The following is a 20,303-nucleotide window of genomic DNA, read 5'->3' as shown; positions in this document are numbered from 1 at the left end:
AAATGCTTAAATCCACAACTGTAACTGTATATTTGTCTATTTCTCCTTTCAGTTCTATTTGGTTTTACTTTATGTATTTTGAAGCCCTGTTGTTAGGAACATACACATTTAGGATTGTTATGTCTTCTTTAAACCTGTAATTTTTTTAGTATTTAAAAATAATCTTATAGAATGAGGTGACATTCAATTGAAAAAAAAGCACAATGGATTAACCCTTTTTAAAGAAAAACTTTATTTTTAATGTGTACTCTGAATTTCCTCATTTTTTAAAGCAAAGAGCCTCTGGAAATCATATTACATTATAGGCTGCTGTGACTAAGTTTTGATTAAATGTTTTTTTTCTTTCCTAAATATCTCCCTTTGTTACATTAGTTAAGTGTAGGTCCTCATTTTGGTTGGTGTAATTCCAAAAAATCAAGGGTAGGGTTTTTTCCCTTCAGGCCCCAAAGCCACAGTCAAAAGTAGTCAGTTGTCTCTCTCTCCCTATGCCCCTCCTTCTGCATGGGTTTCTGTGTGTGTTTACTTGTAAAACATACCAACTCCCATGGAAAAACGATCAAATCTCAAAACTAAAATACAGAAGCTCCGCTTTTACCTATAGCCTTGCTGCCAGTTATTTTCAGACAAGGGTTAGGATGTATGTTTTCCAGAGTTCCCCAAAGTGAGCCAGTGTACAGTGTTGGCCCTGACAAGCACGGGTGGGAATGAGGGAAAATAAAGAAATTTTCGCCCTTGCGTCAGGCTCTGGAAAGCAAAATTCAGAAAAAAGGCTGAGAAAAGCTTTCTTCCGAAGAACCTTTCTAAGCATTGTTGGAATCTGGCTTGAAAACAATGCACAGCATTTGACATTTCTTCATATTATGCCAAAGGTAGTTAACTAAGGAAGGTGCCAGCTCAGGTAGGAGATTTGAGACCTCATGGGTTGGCCCTGGAGTGATTATCTACTGCACTAGTCTACTGGACCTTCTCCGTTCTTCCAGCTTCAACAGCAAGAGGCCCCAGAGCTGTCATCCACGTCTCCTTACACGTTGGACATCTGCTTCAAGAACCCCTCCAATTAAAAGAGCAGGAAACTCCCCGGTGGCTGTTTACCACGTCCCCCACAGACCATGAAGTGAACATCTGATAACCGGCCGGGGGAGGAATAAACTCACTTTAGCTCATAGTTACGGTTTAACAGGTCCCTGTGTGTTTATTCATAGAACCCTGGTTGGTTGGACTTGAGTTTAAATAGTTGACAGGAAGCAATACCTTCCTTCCTGATATCCCGAGCTCATCCAGAGCCAGAGGATGAACTTTCCAGGTTGGTTTACCGTCCCTATAAATAAACATAATGTCTGTATTCATAGAAGACCCACTGCCTCCGAATAAGTGGAGCTTGAATAATTGACGTCCTTCATAAACTCCCACTGTGGCGGAAGCAAGCCTCTTGGCCCTGGGGGCTCTTAGTGACCTCTGGGTGTCTTCAGCTCCTGGTGACCCAGAGTGAACAAACAAGTCCCCTGGCCACACCATGAAGGCCACAGGAAGCTGCAAGCTCACAAGCCCTCCTGCACATGTGGTTAGCCTAAGGAAGACCACAGCAGGTATTTTTAAAGCTCTGCTCTAGGAATTGCTTAGGAGAAATGGCCCTAAATGGCTTAAACTCAAGGATGGGAACTGCCTACTGAAATCGATAGGCCTTTTTTGTGGTAGGCAAGGGAGTGAGAGTGGCCAGGTCCTTGAGAGCGCTGTCCTGCTTCCGTGCTTGTGCGGGTGACAGGGAGATTCTGGCCTCACTGTTCAGGGACAGCCACACTTGACAGGTGCTCCCCAGCAGGCCATACCCAGGATTGGTGCTAGGGCCACTGTGTGTACCTACATGGCATCCGCAAGCCCAGCCTGAGCGCAGCTGGCGATGGCTTATTCTAACCCCAAGGCCAACATTCCATTCCACCATCCTGTCCTGTTCTCTTGGGTTTGTTTCCAGATACAAGTGAGGATTCAGAGGATGTCCTGGACTGCTGAAATCCCTTTGATCTATTGCTTCCCACCCCAGGCAAAATGGCCTCTAGGCTTCACCATGATTAAATGACAGTACCACAAGAGAAAGAGGCATGGCTCGCTGCAACCGCAAGCTGTGCTGGCTACAAAAGAACCTTTCCATTCAGCTCAAAGCACACTGTTCAGAGACTGGCTTGTTGTAGCTGTGCACATGGTGTTGGCTTCAAAGGTAAGTTATTTCCTTGATGCTGTTTTGTTTTTTACTTGGTTGTTGTTCAGTACATGACATTGCTTGCTCTGCCTTATTTGGGCGTCATGGGAAGTGCTGGAATCTATTTGTGGGGATAAACACAAAAATAAACACTTGCAGAAGAGGGCATCTGAGGACACCTGAGACTGTTTAACTTGTGCCTGTGACTGAAGGGAAGTGGGTTCTAACCTGGCTGCCTTTGATGTGTGGTGGAAGGAGCCCAGGGCAGCGGGGCCAGTCACGCAAGGACATCGCTCAAGGCCCAGACCACCCTCCCTAATTGAGCCCAGCAGACGGCAAAGCTGGGAAAGGCACCCAGATTCCAGCTCCACTGCTGGCATGGGCCTGGGCAGGCAGCTGAGCGGCCCATCGGGTGGGGACAGTGGCTGATTGTCTGGCTGAAAACAAGCCTGGGGGATTGTGTGTCGTGGGGAAGGGATCCCCGTCTGATCTTCATCCACAGGGACCTGGGGCACCTGGAGCCCTGTCAGAGCCCTGCTCCCAGGTTTCCGGCTGAATGGCCCAACAATGTTTACAGCCCTTACCCCCGGGGGGGTGGGCGCCCCCAAGGTCCAGGCACCTGAAAGCAGAGAGGACTCACCCTTGTGTTATTATTCCCCAGGCTGCAGAGCCATGCTTGTTTCAGGCAGGCTGTGGACAGGTATGCACCAGCAGACACCCAACACCGAGCAAGGGGGTGGCAGGAGACACACGCACACCTGGGCCGTTCCCCTCACAGGTACGAAGCCGCTTCCCTGGGGGAGGCTTTTTATATCTGCCGACAGCGATCATGACAAGATAAAATGCAAGGATGCCTGGGTTTCTTGTCAAAGAAAATGAAGCTTATTCCAGGGCACCAGCACCTCCCCTGCAGGTCTGAAGCAGTCCAGCTCTAAAGGCTAGGAACCTTTTGTTTGCTGAGAATATTCTGGAATTTTTCAGCAGTTATTACAGCCCAGATGTAACGTCTGAAATGCATGAACAGAGCCTAAAGCACTCAGCCTCGCAGGGAACAGTTATGTCCCCTGTATATCCAGGAGTCTTGGTTTGGGGGCGTCATCTGAGGATTCCAGCAACGCTCACAGCCCACCCCACCCCACTGCAGCCCCCTAGGGACCACAGTTGATTCTGCCAAACTAACTCTGAATCCTAACAGACGCTTAGGTTTTATAGCTGTTGTTCCTGGACACTGTGCAGCCACTGGCTCTTTTTTATTTTGCTCCACGGGTCCCAGGTTTTCGTCTGCAGAATGATTTGTTTCTCTAGTTCTCAGTTCACTTGGCGCTATGTGCGCCCCTCCAGGCCGTGCCTCGCTCCTTGGCCCACCCAGGCCTGTCCCAGCTCCCAGATGCACAGAAGGGAGCCCCGGGGGGCCTCGTCCAGCGCAAAGCCCAAAGCCTCCTTGTGCTTCCCACATGGTTCCCGTCTCACTCCCCTGCCTTCCTTCTCTTCTCCAGCTTCAGATCCCATCACTGAAAAGGTCATACTGATTTTGACCCTTGGGCGCGTTCTAGGACTTGGTTTTGCTTTTGCTCACTCCCTGGCTTCACTCTGTGACTGCACTGGGTCACAGACCTTCCCCGGGTCTCCTCCCACTAACAACCCCGTTCCATTTGGTCCTGGCCCCCAGAACACCTGCCCAGTGTGGCTGGTTCTCCCTTTGGGCGTGAAGGCGGGGTACAACTCAGTCCCTGTTCACTGTGTATTTGTCTGGTTTTAGCACACAGAGTAAACAAGCAGAGGCACAAGCAGGGCTAGTTAAGACCTTAGATCTTCCATGGAGTCACACTTTGCAGGTCTCACCTCACGTTGTACCAAACCTACCAAGGCACCTTCCCTCCCTGGGTGCACCTCACCTGGACCTCCAGGCGAGTGGAGCTGCACTGCACACGCTGCCATGCATTCATTCTGGTGGACGTTTGATGGACCACACGGTGACTTCTGTTGGCAGCATTTTTGGCTTATTTTCCAGCCAATGACTCCCCGGTGTCCTCATCCAGAGGCAGCTGCTGATAAGCTGCCCCAGTTTAACCTTCACAGACACAAAGGCCGTGGATGTGGCCCTTGGTTTTCGCCTCCCTGCTGAAAACAACAACAAACCTCGAAACACCACCACTCGGCTTCTTTGGTTCCTGCTTCCCTACCCTCCTATGGAGTCTCTGATTTCTAGCCATCCATCTTACCCTGCAGATGGTCGCAGTACACAAGGGAAATTTACATGGAACAGCGGTGAGCAAAAAGACAGAAATGCTCTCCTTTTCCTGGGCCAGGTATGCACACTCGCCCACCCTTTCCCACATCCCTCCACTTCTTCTCCTCTGCTTTAGAGTCCAAAGTTCTTCAGGAACTTACCCCAGAGACGACCCTTCTGCGCTTTCCCAGGGGCTTTTTTGCACTACAGCCTCTCCTCATTAAAAATAACAACACACACAAAAAAATAAAAAACAAAAACTGATCTTGCTCCCACATCTCCTTCCAGATCCAATCCCTCTGTCCCTTCTCTGCCAGCATTCACCTGGAATTTGTCTTTTTGTGTCTGAGCTCTTTTCCCCCAGGCATTGTGATGCTGTGTCTATCAAACCCGACATTCTGACCAATGCCCTACCTAGCCTGTCGAGTGGTTATTGTATTCCATTGCTCTGTTTTTGTACCAGTACTGCACTATTTTAATGACTCTGGCTTTGCAAAATGGCCTAATGCCTGGTAGAGAGAGGTTGTTTTTGATGATGGTGTTTAAAATTGATTTAGCTCTTCAAATTCCTTCATTGTTTCATATAAATTTTGGAATCGGTTTCCAAAGATGAATCAAAGAATCTTAATTGCATTTGCACTTAATGTATTAATTTGGAAGTAAAGTAACTAGATCTCTACAATGTTGAATTTTTCTATGCCTAGACAGTAAATATCTATTTATTTATTTTAATTTTTTATGTCTTTCAGTGTTTTCTAATAATCTCCATAAAGTTTGCACATTCTTGTTAGGTGTATTTTATATGGGTGTATGTATATGTCTTGCAGATGTGACATTTTAAATGTTACATTACTAGTTTCTTATTGAATATTTAATGAATAATTGTTAATTTTTATAACTTTATTTTGTATTCATATACCCTTCCTCACTGTCTTACTAATTCTATTATTTTATCCATTGAGTTGCTTGTCTTTTTTTATATGGATGATGATAAATTACTTACAATTTTGTCTACCTTTCTAATTCTTATTCTTGTCTTGTTGCATTGTTTAGAATCTCTAGTACTCTATTCAATAGTAGTGGTGATAATGGGCATTTTCCCACATTAAATATGTTGTTTTACTATTACATAAGCTGTCTGCAGTAGATTTTTGATAAGTGCCAATTATTATTTTCATGATATTTCCTTCTATGGTTATGATGTGCATGTTTTCTTGTGAACGCGCTTTAAATTGTATTGAGTGCTTTTTCTGTATCTTTCGAAAGGTACATAGATGTTTCTTCTTCTTCTTTTTTTTTTTTTTTTTTTGAGATGGAGTCTTGCTCTGTCGCCCAGGCTGGAGTGCAGTGGCACGATCTTGGCTCACTGCAAGCTCTGCTTCCCAGGTTCACGCCATTCTCCTGCCTCAGCCTCCCGAGTAGCTGGGACTACAGGCGCCCGCCACCATGCCCGGCTAATTTTTTGTATTTTTAGTAGAGATGGGGTTTCACCATGTTAGCCGGGATGGTCTCCATCTCCTGACCTCGTGATCCGCCCACCTTGGCCTCCCAAAGTGTTGGGATTACAGGCGTGAGCCTCTGCACCTGGACTTTTCTTCTTTAATATATTAACGAGGTGAAATATGCATACATTATACCTAATGAAAGAACCATCTTTCCATTTCTAGTGTAAGCCTAACTTAGTCATGACAAATTATTATTTTAGGACACTACAGATTAGAATCCCTAACATTTCCTGTAGGACTTTTACATTTATATTTCTAAGAGACTTCTAAGTGACCTGTACTTTTTCTTTCTTATAGGAACCATTGCATTTATTTTAATACAGATTATATTTACACAAAAAATAAATTAAAAACTTATTTATTTTTATCTGTAAGATATATGTTATGTAAGTATTTTATCTTATTTAATTCTTATTATCTGTAAGGACTTATAAAAATAGGAATTATCTGTTCTTTGGCAATTTGATAAAAATATACCCAAAAAATCTGAGTGAGGTTGTAGATTGCCACCTGATTTTCTTGATTGCAACTGGTTTACTTTGGCAGCTTATATTCTATATATTCTTTGGTTTTTCAAAAGTGTATGAAATAGTTGTTCATAATATCTTCTTTGATCTAAAACATTTTTTCAGTATCTATAGTTATTTCCCTTTTTAATTGCCAGATTTGGGGTTTCGTACCTTCTTTTTCAATTGATTCATTCTGTCAAAGGATTTATTTAAAATCTTAATAGTTCTTTCAAAGAACCTCGGTTTTATGAATTATCTCTAGTACCTACTCTCCCCCAATCCATGTATTTCATTAACTTTTGCCCCCTTTTTTATTCTAAGCCTAATTTTTTCAATCTTTCTTGTTTTCTGCTAAATATATTAAAACTATATGTCTCCCTCTAAGTATTGTTTTGGATATATTCCACAGTTTTTGATAAGTAGTATTTTTATATTTATTTCATTGAAAAATGATAATTCCATTATGATTTCCTTTTAATCCACAAATTATTGAAAAGTAAAGCTTTTAGTTTTCAAACATGGAATGTTTTCAGTGAATTTTTTCTTTGTTGATTCCTGATTTTATTGTATCATGAAGAGAGAATGCAGTCTGTATGATGTTGGTTATTTGGAATTTGTTGAGACTTTCTTTGTGGCCAAATATGTGATCAATTTTCATAACTGTTCTGTGTGCTTTTTGTTTTCTATATACAAAGTTAATATTAAGTTTATAATTGAATTATTCCATTATCTACATCCCTCTTTGTTTTTTGCCTGGTTGGTGTTTTCATTTTTGAGAAGTTTGCTAACATCTACTATAATATGGATTTATTTTCTCGATGGGTGTATTGTTTATTTTATCAGTATAAAATGTATTTCTTCACCCCTTTTAATACTGTTGCTTTAAACTTTATTTGGTGTGACATTAGTATTTCTATTATAGAATTTCTTTGTTCACATTTGCCCATTTTGTTAGCTTGTTTGTCTTTCTATTATTAAGTTGTAGCAGTACTTTAAGTATACTGGGTACCAGTTTTTTATTTTGTCAGATATATGTTATGTGCATGTGTTATCTTACTCTGTGGCTTGTCTATTCGTTTTCCTCACTGGGCCTTTTGATCAGCAGAAGATTTAATTTTGATGAAGTCTAATTTATCAGGTTTTTTTTTCTTTTATTGTTATTGCTTTCTGTTTTGTCTGAGAAACCTTTGCCTATGCCCAAGTCCTGAAGACATTCTATTTTCCTTTAAAAGCTTCATGGTCCATTTCAAATTAATTTTTTTTTTTTGAGATGGAGTATCGCTTTGTCACCCAGGCTGGAGTGCAGTGGCGTGATCTCGGCTCACTGCAACCTCTGCCTCCTGGGTTCAAGTGATTCTCCTGCCTCAGCCTCCTGAGTAGCTGGTACTATAGGCGTGTGCCACCACACCAGGCTAATTTTTTGTATTTTTAGTACAGATGGGGTTTCATCATGTTAGCCAGGATGGTTTCGATCTCCTGACCTCGTGATCCACCTGCCTCAGCCTCCCAAAGTGCTGGGATTACAGGTATGAGCCACCGCATCCAGCCATAGTATTCTTATTTTATATTGCTGGATAGTATTTGCCAATATTAGTAAAATTAGCAATTAGTAATAGTAATTACTATTACTTATTAGCAAATCAGTAATTAGTAATAGCACTTGCATTATTACTAAACTAATTAGTGATAGTTTGTCTATTACCTTATATACACATCCAATAGGCTATACAAGGATAAATAGCAATAATATTAGCAAATATTAACAAATTAGTAATAGTAATTACTATTGCTTATTAGCAGATTACTAGTTAGTAATAATAACTGCATTGCTGGTATAAACTATTTCGTAGTGAAGTAGTATCCTTTTTATATATTGCTGGATGGCATTTACTAGTATTTTGTTAAGTTTTTTTGCACCTAGAGTCGTAATTCTCTTCCTTCTTTCCTCCCTCCCTCCCTCCCTTTCTTTTCTTTTTGTCAGGCTATTATTTGGTATTAGGGTTGTGCTGGTATCACTAAATGGGTTGGAATGTTTTTCATCCTCCTCTGTTTTCTGAATAAGTTTACATAAGATTGGTATTATTTCTTAAATGTTTAATAGAATTAATCAGTGAAAACATTTGGACCTGGAATTTTCTTTACTGGAGGAATTTAATTTCTTTAATATAGGACTATTCCTAATTTTTGTTTCCTCTTGTATTAGTTTTGGTTAGTGGTGTTTCTCTAAGAATTTGTCTATTTCATCTAAGTTGTTAAATTTTTTGGCATAATACTGTTCATTATATTTCTTCTTCTATCCCCCTGATATTGGTGATTTGTGTTCTCTCTCTCTCTCTCATCAGTTTAGCTAAGCATTTATTAATTTTCTTAATCTTTTCAAAAAACCAACTTTTGGTTTTTAATTTTTTCTCTATTATTTTCCATTTTGTTGATTTCTGCCTGTATCTTTATTGTTTCTTTTTTTCTACTCAACTTTGCTTTTTTTCCCCAACTTCTTAAGGTGAAATCATAGGTCATTGATTTAAGATTTTTTAATTTTATAATGTAAGTTTCTGAGCTGTAATGTTTTTATCTAAATTCTGCTTTACTCAAATTCCTAATTTTAATGCGTAGGGTTTTTGATTTTCTATCATTCAGTTTTAATATTTTTAAATTTTCATTGTGACTTTTTTTTTACTCATAGATTACTTAGAAGTGTGTTATTTGTTGCCAAATATTTGGGATTTTCCTAGATATTTTATTCTTATAGATTTCTAAGTTAGTTCTGTAATTATCAGGGAACGTAGTCTATGTGATTTAAATCCTTGTAAATTTATTTAGTTTATTTAATAACCTATCATATGGTATATCTTGGTAAGCAAACTATGTGAACTTAAGAATACAGATTCAGCAATTTTAGATATATTGTCCTAAAACATCAATTAGATTAGAGTGGCTGATAGCATTATTCAGTTCATCTATATCTTTAGTGATGTTTTGGACTAGGTTTTATGACTATTCTTGAGAGAGCGATGTTTACAATTTTAACTTTGTGGAACTGTGTGATTCTTTAATTCTGTCAATTTTTGCTTCATGTATTTTGAAGCTCTGTTATTAGCCATATGTTTATCTATAATTTTTATAGATGAATCTAATAAATTGACCCTTTTATCATCATGACTTACCCTTCTTCATCTCCAGTAAAACTATTTGTCTTATGGTCAGTTTTGTCTGATATTAATGTAGCCATTCCAGTCTTCTTCTGCTTCCTGGTAGCATGGTACAAATGTTTTCATCCATTTACTTTCAACCTATGTGTGTCTTATTACATATAAGTCGTACCTCTTATAGATAGCATATAGTTGGGTTTTGCTCTTTCATCCATAATGATAATATCATTCTTTTAATTGTCATGTTTGTTCTATTCTGTGATGGTTAATATTAAGTGTCAACTTGATTTGATTGAAGGATGCAAAGTATTGTTTCTGGGTGTGTCGGTAAGGATGTTGCCAGAGGAAGTTAACATTTGAGTCAGTGGACTGGGAAAGGAACACTCACTGTCAGTGTGGGTGGGTACCTTTCCATCAGCTGCCAGTGCAACTAGAAAAAGCAGGCAGAAGAAGGTGAAATAAACTGGCTTGCTGAGTTGTCAGGCTTTCGTCTTTCTCCCGTGCTGGATGCCTCCTGCCCTTGAACATCAGACTCTGAGTTCTTTGGCCTCTTGGACTTATGCCAGTGGTTTGCCAGGGGCTCTTGGGCCTTCAGCCACAGATTGAAGGTGGCACTGTCAGCTTCCCTACTTCTGAGGCTTTGGGACTCAGATTGAGCCACTACTGGCTTCCTTGCTCCTCAGGTTGCAGACAGCAAGTGGGACTTCGTCTTGGTGATCATGTGAGTTAATTTTCCTTAATAAACTCCCTTTCATATATACATATATCCTATTAGTTCTGTCCCTCTGGAGATCCCTAATACAGATTTTGGTACCAGGAATGGGGTACTGCTATAAAGATCCCTGAAAATGTGGAAGTGACTTTGGAACTTGGTAATGGGCAGAGGTTGGAACAGTTTGGAAGGCTCAGAAGACAGGAAGATGTGGGAAAGTTTGGGACAGACTTGTTGAATGGTTTTGACCAAAATGCTAATAGTGATATGGACAATAAATTCCAGGCTGAGGTGGTCTCAGATGGAGATGAGGAACTTATTGGGAACTGGAGCAAAGGTCACTCTTGATATGCTTTAGCAAAGAGACTGGAGGCATTTTGTCCCTGCCCTAGAGATCTGTGGAAATTTGAACTTGAGAGAGTTGATTTAGGGTATCTGGCAGAAGAAATTTCTAAGCAGCAAAGCATTCAAGAGGTGACGGGCTTTTCCTGGAAGTGTACAGGTATATGAGCTCACAAAGAGATGGTTTGAAATTGGAGCTTATGTTTAAAGGGGAAGCAAAGAATAAAAGTTTAGAAAATTTGCAGCCTGACCATGTGATAGAAAAGAAAAACCCGTTTTCTGGGGAGAACTTCAAGTTAGCTGCAGAAATTTTCATGAATAATGAGGAACTGAATGTTAATTGCCAAGACAATAAGGAAAATGTGTCTAGGGCATTTCAGAGATCTTCAAGGCAGCCCCTCCCATCACAGGTCCAGAGGTCTAGGAGGGAAAAATGGTTTCATGGGCCAGGCCCAGGGCCCAGCTGCTTTGTGCAACATAGGGACTTGGTGCCCTGTGTCCCAGCTGCTTCAGCTCCAGCCGTAGCTAAAAGGGGCCACAGTACAGGTCAGGCCATTGCTTCCGAGTGTGCAAGCCCCAAGCCTTTGAGCCTTCCACATGGTGTTGGGCCTGCAGGTGCACAGAAAACAAGAGTTGAGCTTTGGGTGCCTCTGCCTAGATTTCAGAAGATGTATGGAAACACCTGATTGTCCAGGCAGAAGTCTGCTGCAGGGGCAGAACCCTCATGGGGAACCTCTACTAGGGAAATGCAGAGGGGAAATGTGGGGTTGGAGTCCCAACACAGAGTCCCCACTGAGGCACTGCCTAGTGGAGCTGTGAGAAGAGGGCCACCGTCCTTCAAACCCCAGAATGGTAGATCCACTGATAGCTTGCACCATGCACTTGGAAAAGCCTTAGGCACTCAGTGCCAGCCAGTGAAACCAGCCACAAGGGATATCTATTGGTTTTAACTATACCATTGCATTTTTAGATGTTTGTCTTGGGGATAACACTCCTAACCCTCCACAGTTTACTTCCTATTAATATTGCACCATTTACCTAAAGTGTAGAAACCTTGCAGCCATATAGGACCATTTCCCATTCCTCTGTTTTTTATGCTATAGTAATCATATGTGTTACCTCTACATATGTTACCTCTCAAGGCATTGTTCTGTTTTTCCTTTGACAGTTTTATATATTTTTAAAAATTAAAAGAGAAATAGTATATTTACCCAGAAATATACTATTTCTTATGTTATTCTTCCCTTCCTAAAGATCCAGTTTTCTGTTTAGTATCATTTCCCTTCAGCCTCAGGAACCTCTTTAAGCATTTCTTATACTGAAGTTTGCTGGCTACAAATTCTCTTAATTTTCTTTTTACCTAAGCATGTTTTTATTTCATCTTTATTCTTGAAAGATATTTTCACCGTATATAAACTTCTGAGTTAATGGTTTTTTTGTTTCAAAGCTTTTAAATAACTTCTCATCTCCATTGTTTCTGATGAGAAGTCAGTGATAACTCAAATGTTTTTCACCCATATGTATTTTTTTTCTGGCTTCTTTTGAGATTCTTTCTATAAAAAACTTGTTTTCAGAAGTTTGACTCTGATGTGCCCTGGCTTGGTTTTCTTTGTATTTGTACTTCTTGGAGTTTACTGAGCTTCTTTAATCTTTAAAATTTAGAAATTTGGAGCTATTTTTTTTTCTGTAGAAATTATTTGCAGTTTAAAACTTGTGATAAGATATAGATCACATAGAACTTTATGTATACAATTTGGTAGTTTTAAGAACATTCACATTGCTGTGCAACCCAACTCCAGAACTCGTTTCATTTCGCCAAAGTAAAACTCTACACCCACCACAGAAATCTCTATTCCCTCCTCCCTTCAGGCCCTGGTAACCAGCATTCTATTTTCCGTCTCTATAAATCTGACTATTCTGGGTATCTCATGTAGGTGGAACCATACAGTATTTGTCCTTTTCTGACTAGCTTATTTCACTTAGTACCGTGTCCTCAAGGTGCATCCACGCTGTAGCATGTGTTCAAATTTCCTTCCTTTCTAAGGCTGAAGAATATCTTGCTGTATGTATACACCACATTTTGTTTATGTGCTCATGCATCGATGGACACTTGTGTTGCTTCCATCTTTTGGCTACTGTGGATAATGTGACTATGAAAACTGGTGTACAAATACCTGTTGGAATCCCTGCTCTCAATTCCTCTGGGTATATGCCCAAACATGGAATTGCTGAATCATATGGTAAATCTCTTTTCAATTTTTTTTTTTTTTGAGACAGCGTTTCACTCTTGTTGCCCAGGCTGGAGTACAGTGGCACAATCTCGGCTCACTGCAGCCTCCACCTCCTGGGTTCAAGCAATTCTCCTGCCTCAGCCTCTCGAGTAGCTAGGATTACAGGCGCCTGCCACCACGCCTGGCTAATTTTTTGTATTTTTAGTAGAGACGGGGTTTTGCCATGTTGGTCAAGCTGGTCTCAAACTCCTGACCTCAGGTGATCTGCCCGTCTTGGCCTCTCGAAGTGTTGGGATGACAGGTGTGATCCACTGCGCCTGGTCTATTTTCAATTTTTTGAGGAACCACCATACTCTGCCACAGCAGCTGAACCTTTTACACTCTTACAACAGTGCACTGGTGTTCCAATTTCATCATGTCCTTGTCAACTCTTCTTATTTTTTTAAGGTGGCACACTACTAGGTATGAAGTGGTATCTTATTGTGATTTTAATTTGTGTTTTTTTCAGTGATTAGTGATGTTGAACATCTCTTCATGTGCTTGTTAGCCATTTGTATATTTTCTTTGGAGAAATGTCTATTCAATTCTTTACCCATTTTTTTAATTGAGTTTTTTTTTGTTGTTTTGTTTTGCTGTCGAGCTATTGGAATTCTGTCTGTATTCTGAATATTAACCCTTTATCAGATATATAATTTGTAAATATTTTCTCTCATTCTGTGGGCTGCTTTTTCATTTTGTTGATTATATTCTTTGATGTACAGATTTTTTATAATAAAATTTATCTATTTTTACTTTTGCTACCTGTGCTTTTAGTGTCATATCGAAGAAATCATTGCCAAGTCCAATGTCATGAAGCTTTCCCCTTATTTTATTATTATTATTTTGAGTGTAGTGGCGCGATCTCGGCTCACTGCAAGCTCCGCCTCCCGGGTTCACGCCATTCTCCTGCCTCAGCCTCCCAAGTAGCTGGGACTACAGACGCCCGCCACCATGCCTGGTTAATTTTTTTTATTTTTAGTAGCGACGGGGCTTCACCGTGTTCGCCAGGATGGTCTCGATCTCCTGACCTCGTGATCCACCCGCCTCAGCCTCCCACAGTGCTGGGATTGCAGGCGTGAGCCACTGTGCCGGCCACCCATTTTAAAGTGGACAGTTGAGTGGCACTCTGCACACTCACATTACTGTGCAGCCATCACTGCCATCCGCCTCCAGAACTCTTTCCATCTTCCCAAACTGAAATTCTGTACTCATTAAACACTAACTCCACATTCCCTCTTCCCCTCAGCCCCTGGCAAGCACCATTCTACTTTCTGTCTCTATGAATCTGATGACTCCAGGCACCTCGCATAAATGGAATCGCGCAGCATTGGTCCTTCGTGACTGGCTTATGATTGAGCGTAATGTCCTCAAGGGCTTACCATGTTGCAACACGTGTCAGAATCTTTTGAAGGTGGAATAATATTTCATTGTATGTATATACCACATGTTGCTTATTCATTCATTGTTGGACATTTAGGTTGTTTTCATCTTTTTGTAAATAATGCTACTGTGAATATGAACATAGGAAGTTCATTTTATAAGGGGACCCAGGGAAGTTTTAACTGGTACATGATACGAGAGGTAACATCTATGGTCACGAGGCAAAGGAAGTTGCCAAATGCCTGTGGCTTGAGCCACATGAAGGGAGGGATGATTTAGGATGGGGGCCCACATAAAAGGAACATGCCAGGGAGCTCTTGCTGTGAAAAACACTTGCCTGACAGCAGAGAGTGCGTTTCATGCTCCTCTACCTACTGCTTCTGGACAGCTTATGTGTGTGCTGCACACCTCACTCCGCTGGCTGAGGTCTCTCCATCCAGATCTTCCGGCACTTGGGTGCAGTTACCTGCACTTTGCAGATGAGGAAATGGAAGTGCAAAGATATTAGTAGGCCTGTTCCTGTCACCAGCTGGCTGGCTCCAAACGTTGTCCTCCAAGGCATGGAAGGATGGTCAGGACATCGTGGGGTGCCTCTGTCAGAAGCACCCTGGTCCCTCAGGATCCTGATCTTCCTTCACATCCAGGGTGGTTGGATGCGGGGAGGAGGCACAGAGAAAGCGGCACATGGTGTGAAGTTCAAGGATGCAGTGTGATGTGGCTCCGGGCCACCCGGTGATGTGAGGCAGGGGCGTCCCATCCCTGTCTTGCTTCTCAGTTTCTTCATCTGTAGAACATAGACAGCCACTCTTCCCTCATGGAGATGTTGAGAAAATCACAACCCACACAGTGTAGGAAGTCGTCCGCCCACAGTAGGCAGATGATGAGAGGGCAGCAATTTCAGGCCACTTTGCAGATCCTACACTATTCTTTTTTTTTTTTTTTTTGAGACGGAGTCTCGCTCTGTCGCCCAGGCTGGAGTGTGGTGGTGCGATCTCGGCTCACTGCAAGCTCCGCCTCCCGGGTTCAAGCCATGCTCCTGCTTCAGCCTCCCGAGCAGGTAGGACTACAGGCGCCCGCCACCACGCCCGGCTAATTTTTTGTATTTTTAGTAGAGACGGGGTTTCACCGTATTAGCCAGGATGGTCTCGATCTCCTGACCTCGTGATCCGCCCGCCTTGGCCTCCCAAAGTGCTGGGATTACAGGCGTGAGCCACCGCACCCGGCCAACCCTACACTATTCTTGTGCCCTTGCCCGCTGGAGCCTGAGATGTGGGAGGGCAAGCCCATCCCCTTCCTGCGTAGACTTGCCCCTCTCAGCGAGGAGTGAGGGCGCTGGGAGGTGAGGGGTCATGCCCTCCTGGCACAGGGGGAGGGTAAGAGCACGGGCTCCTGTGAGGAGGGCAGGAGGGCAGACACTGAGGGCACACACTGAGGGCAGGTGTTCCTGGCCCAACTAATACCCCACTGGGCGGGTAACAGCCGGAGGTAACAAAACCACAACATGGTGAGTGGCAGGGTAGGGGGCGGGTGGACAGAGAGTGGGGAGAGGTGTTGGGAAAGGCACAAGTTCTGGAATCAACCCGTCTGATTCCATTCCATCCACAAGGGCTGGTTCCCTGCTATTCTGGGCATGGACAGGCGGCAGCACAGGCCAATTGCAAAGATTCCCTTTGCTGAGCTCTGCGGCCCTCCTGTTATGAGGCCTGGTGCACAGCAGCCATTTGCCAAGTGGAGGCTGTATTTCTTCCAGAAAGCCGTCTTTCCTAAACTCCTTTCTGCCTATGTCAGTTGGAAAGGTGGCTCCCTCTCTAACTCCCCTTCCCCTGTGGTGAGCTCCTCCAAGCACATATAGTAGGTGCTCGATGCTTGCTGGCAGAATCAATGAATGGGCAGGGCATCATAGCCAAGACAGTGGAGGGCAACAGGAAGAGAAGAGTTCAGATTTCAAGGGGAAGCCGAGAGTAAAACCCTGTGCTGTCCTGGGAGACACATTCATAGGCATTTCATTCTGGAACTCTACCTGAGGCATCCAGGAGCCTGCCTGGGGGCCTCTGCCTCAATATTGCTGCATCTGCCCACACAGTCTTCTAGGTCCTGTGTGTCTGCTAAGGGATGCTAACTTGACTGTTCGCAGAGCGGAGAAAGGCACGATCACCCAGAAAGCCCACACAGTAAAGACAGAGCCACAGTGTAAGCACTGGCTCAGCCTGTTGCTTCTGAGCCCCCATCCTGTGCAGGACCCCACTCTCTGTGTGTCAGAGAGGAAACACAGGGATGAATCCCATGGGCATCACCTCCCCCCAGTTCATGCTCCAGATGCAGGGCTTGGGAAGAGACACTGCAGAATCAGGCTTTGCAGTGAGCTGCTGTTTCCCTTGCTAGAAATGGTTTCTTTGGGTGATGATTGAATGGCGATGGTCTTCAGGGCTGTTCCGTTCAGTTGTGTAGTTGCATTGGGCCAAATGTGCCCAGCTAGGAGGCAAATTGGACCTGAAATCCAGCTCATGCCACTTTTGCCACACCATGCCAGGGGTTGCTGCTGCCCAGGGGGGCACCTTCTGTAATCTACACAAAGGCACAGCACGTGGGCAGTGCTGAGCTTGCTTCCTTCCGGTGCATCCGATGCCGGTGAGCAAGAAGGCAAGGTGCAGTGTGCAGCCCCTTGGTGGGACCCCAAACTGCTGCAGGGGAAGTAGCAGGGGCAGAGAGATGGGCGGCCAACCCACCTGCACAGGGCCTCTTACCTCCCCATTCCCTCTCATCCCAGCCCTGGGGCATGCTTGGAGGTTGGCAGAGCCTTGCAGGAACTGACTCTGGAGATTCTCAGAAGGAAAAGCAGGAGAGGGAGTTTCCAGAGATTGGCGGGGAACTGAGGGGAGATCCCTGTGACTGAAGCCTGCTTAGCAACATGGGAATCTCCTGCCATCACAGGATGCCAAAAGGGTGCGAGGCAAGAGAGACAAAAGGTAAAGTAACAAAGGCACCTGATCAAAGCCAGGGGCTGGGTGTCCCTGGCTCCACTTTACACAGGAATCAACTGAGGCTCACTGGGTGAGGCTGCTTGACCCCTACCACTCTACTAGTCAGTGGCTGGGCCACACTTTAGACCCCGGCCTGCCTGGCTCCCCACAGCAGCTGCCGCCTCTGCATGGACACCACCCCAGCCTGGCGCTGGGTGCAGTTGTGCGGGGGAAGCTGCAGCCTGGGCAGGTTGGGCTCTTGTGTTGCTCCCAGAGCAGCTGACCTCATCCCATCTGGGTGTGTGGGGAAGGCAGCAGGTGTGGTGCTGGGAGGGACAGGAGCCCGTGTTCAACATGTCTGGAGAAATCAGTGACAACAGAAATGGCACGCGATTTCCGTATGGAGAGCAAAGCCACCGAGGGGTTTCTCCGGAAAAGTCAGGGGGATGGCATCGATTGCTCAAGGAGGATTTAGCAATAGGATGGAAGGAAGCCTACACGCTGGCGTCAGGAGCACGCTCAACCAGCACAAGAAGCGCACCCAGGCGGCAGGAGCCACAGCCGCCTCCAGGTGTCCGTGATGCGCCTTCAGCGGGCGCCGCAGCTCTAGCTGCGCGTTAGGGTCCCCGGAGAAGTTACAAAGCGAGCGCATAGGCTTGGGCCCTATTCAATGGTTCTGCCTTAATTGCTCTGGGGAGACCCCGGCAGGGGCATGTTTTTGAGTTTCAGGACTCTGCTGTGTAGCTGTGATGGAGAATCTTTCTCTGTGGGCTCATGACGCCCACCCAGGTCTGCTCCCCACCCCGTCCCATGAAGTCTTCTGCCTCCAGGGTGGCAGCAGGTCGACCAGGGGCCATGTGAGCTGGAGCAGGCCGATCCTCACCTGGGTCTAGAGAGGCGATCTGGCCAGGTGACCCGTGAGGCTCCTCCCTGGGGCAAAATCTTCGTGAAGGGTGGGCCGGAGAAGACGTGAAGGCAGGTGGGACGCACCCACTTCCCAGCCCTGAGGGACTGGAGACTGGTGTCTCAGCCAGCTCGGGCTGCCGTAGCAAAACACCACAGAATGGGAGGCTTAAGTAACAGCTTGATTTTTCTCACAGCTCTGGAAGCTGGAAGCCCCAAATCAAGGCGTCGGCAGGGCTGGTTTCTCTGAGACCATCCTGGGCTTGCAGACGGCCGCCCTCTCTCCATATCCACATGTGATCCTTCCTCTGTGCCTGTCTGTGTCCTAATCTCTTTTTCTTGTAAGGACACGAGTCAGATCATGTTAGGGACCACCCTAACGACCCCAATTTAACCTAACTGCCTCTTTAAAGGCCCTGTCTCCAAATAGTCACATTCTGAGGAATGGGTTTAGGGCCTCAGTGCATGAATTCGGGAGAAACACAATTCAGCCCCTAACAGCTGTGCTGGAGGCTTGATGAGACGGCCCTGCCTAATCTAACTTCAGGACAGCAAGCACACACCTGTATGCTCACACTCTCACACACACCTGCATGCTCACACACACACACGCCTGCATACTCACACACCCACACCCACACACTCACACACATTGACACGCACACACACTCTCACACACACATTCACACACACATACACACGCACACTCACACACACGACACACACTCACACACATTCACACACATAAGCACACTCACATTGACACACATTCACACACTCACACATACACACACACATACACATACACACATATACACACTCACTCACACACATTGACACACACACTCATACACATTCACACACACTCACACACACTCACATTGACACACTCATACAAATTCACACACTCACACACACGTACACACACACATTGACACACACACACATTCACACACTCTCACACACACTCTCACATCACATTGATCTAGGGATTTCCTCAGGTTGAAACGGGCCTGACCATCTGCAAATGGGCAGGTAAGTCCAAATGCAGAACTGATCTTCACTTAGGGCTTCAGACAAAATCTCAATTGATGTAAAAGCCCATTAACCGCCCCCCTCAAAGTAAAACAACAGCAACAACAACAAAAGGTGTTTCGAATTAGTTTTTGAAACTAAAAGTATTTCAAGAAATTCACTCCATGAATGAGTCATGACATGGCATAGTGGGAAGAACAACTTCCTGGGGCCAAGAAAACCTGAGCTGAAAGTCAGTAGTGCCTGTGAGCAGCCCCTGGACCTGGGGCAACTCACTGACCTCTCTGAGCCCAGCTTCTTAGGGGCTTGTGAGCATCGTCCCCTGCCAGGGCCTCTGCACACCGCCTGGTCTGGAACAGGGACACCTTGGGTGCTCCTCCCTCCAAGCCTTCCCACCGCCCTGGTGCACAAGGCACCTACAGCTCTGGAGCTCTCAGCTACAGCTGAGGTGCTCTGGGCTCTCCTGCGGGGCCGAGGGGCTTGTGACGCTGGGCCTCTTCCTACAGTCACTCATATCCACGTGGAATGAGGTTTCCAATATCCATAGGCAAATATGATCCACCCACCTGCCTGCCTACCTTCTGAAGTCACCATTTCCCTGACATAATTGCATCTTACAGATCTTACAGCTGTTTCCTGTGGCCCACTTGATGGTTGGTGGCACCTTGGCATGTCCACCAGGTAGCACCTCATGCTGAACATCACAGCTGGCCCCAGGCAGGCCCTTCCCTTCCTCCTCACTCTGTCTACATCACTGGATCAGGGAAGCTGGCTTCATTCAACCCTTCCTTCTGTAGGTCCTGAAAGGTGAGGTGATGGCTGCTTCTCCACTCCCCACCCCTCTTTGTTGTGTAAGTGTGATTGGTCACACATCACAGAAAACTCATATAGCAGATATTTGCCACGTAACGTAGAATTTGAAAGCACATCTATGCCATAGGAAACGGCTAATTGCCTTGACTCAGGAGTGCCCCCAAGAGCCTGTCTCATTGGGAATCCTTCAGCTGTCCCAAGAGGAAACCATTGCGTTGACTTTTGTGACAGTCATGTACTTGGTTTTAATGATGTTTATCACTTACTTACAAGTTCTTAAGCACCAGAGTTGAGTTGGGCC

The 20,303-nt window shown here is 44.6% G+C and overlaps 1 long non-coding RNA gene across 2 annotated transcripts in view, besides 2 other annotated features; it reads right to left on the bottom strand.

Moving 5' to 3' along the window:
* The window catches only part of LOC105371024 (uncharacterized), a 116,308-nt gene that overhangs the window by 27,112 nt on the left and 68,893 nt on the right, over positions 1-20,303 (bottom strand). The gene's annotated exons all lie outside the window — the stretch shown is intronic.
* Positions 1,833-3,032: an enhancer, noted in NCBI's record as "BRD4-independent group 4 enhancer chr15:101342428-101343627 (GRCh37/hg19 assembly coordinates)". NCBI's record gives its function as "activates an origin of replication core promoter dependent on BRD2, P300/CBP, MED14 and CDK7 cofactors, and independent of BRD4, by STARR-seq in HCT116 cells {active_cell/tissue: HCT116}" and the evidence as "EXISTENCE:reporter gene assay evidence [ECO:0000049][PMID:35650434]".
* Positions 17,625-17,825: a silencer, noted in NCBI's record as "peak2455 fragment used in MPRA reporter construct". NCBI's record gives its function as "represses an SCP1 promoter by STARR-seq MPRAs in K562 erythroleukemia cells {active_cell/tissue: K562}" and the evidence as "EXISTENCE:reporter gene assay evidence [ECO:0000049][PMID:32103011]".

Source organism: Homo sapiens, chromosome 15, assembly GCF_000001405.40.
Source record: "Homo sapiens chromosome 15, GRCh38.p14 Primary Assembly".
NCBI lineage: Eukaryota > Metazoa > Chordata > Mammalia > Primates > Hominidae > Homo > Homo sapiens.
Note: the sequence above shows the minus strand (reverse complement) of the source record. Positions and strands in the feature narration are given on the sequence as shown.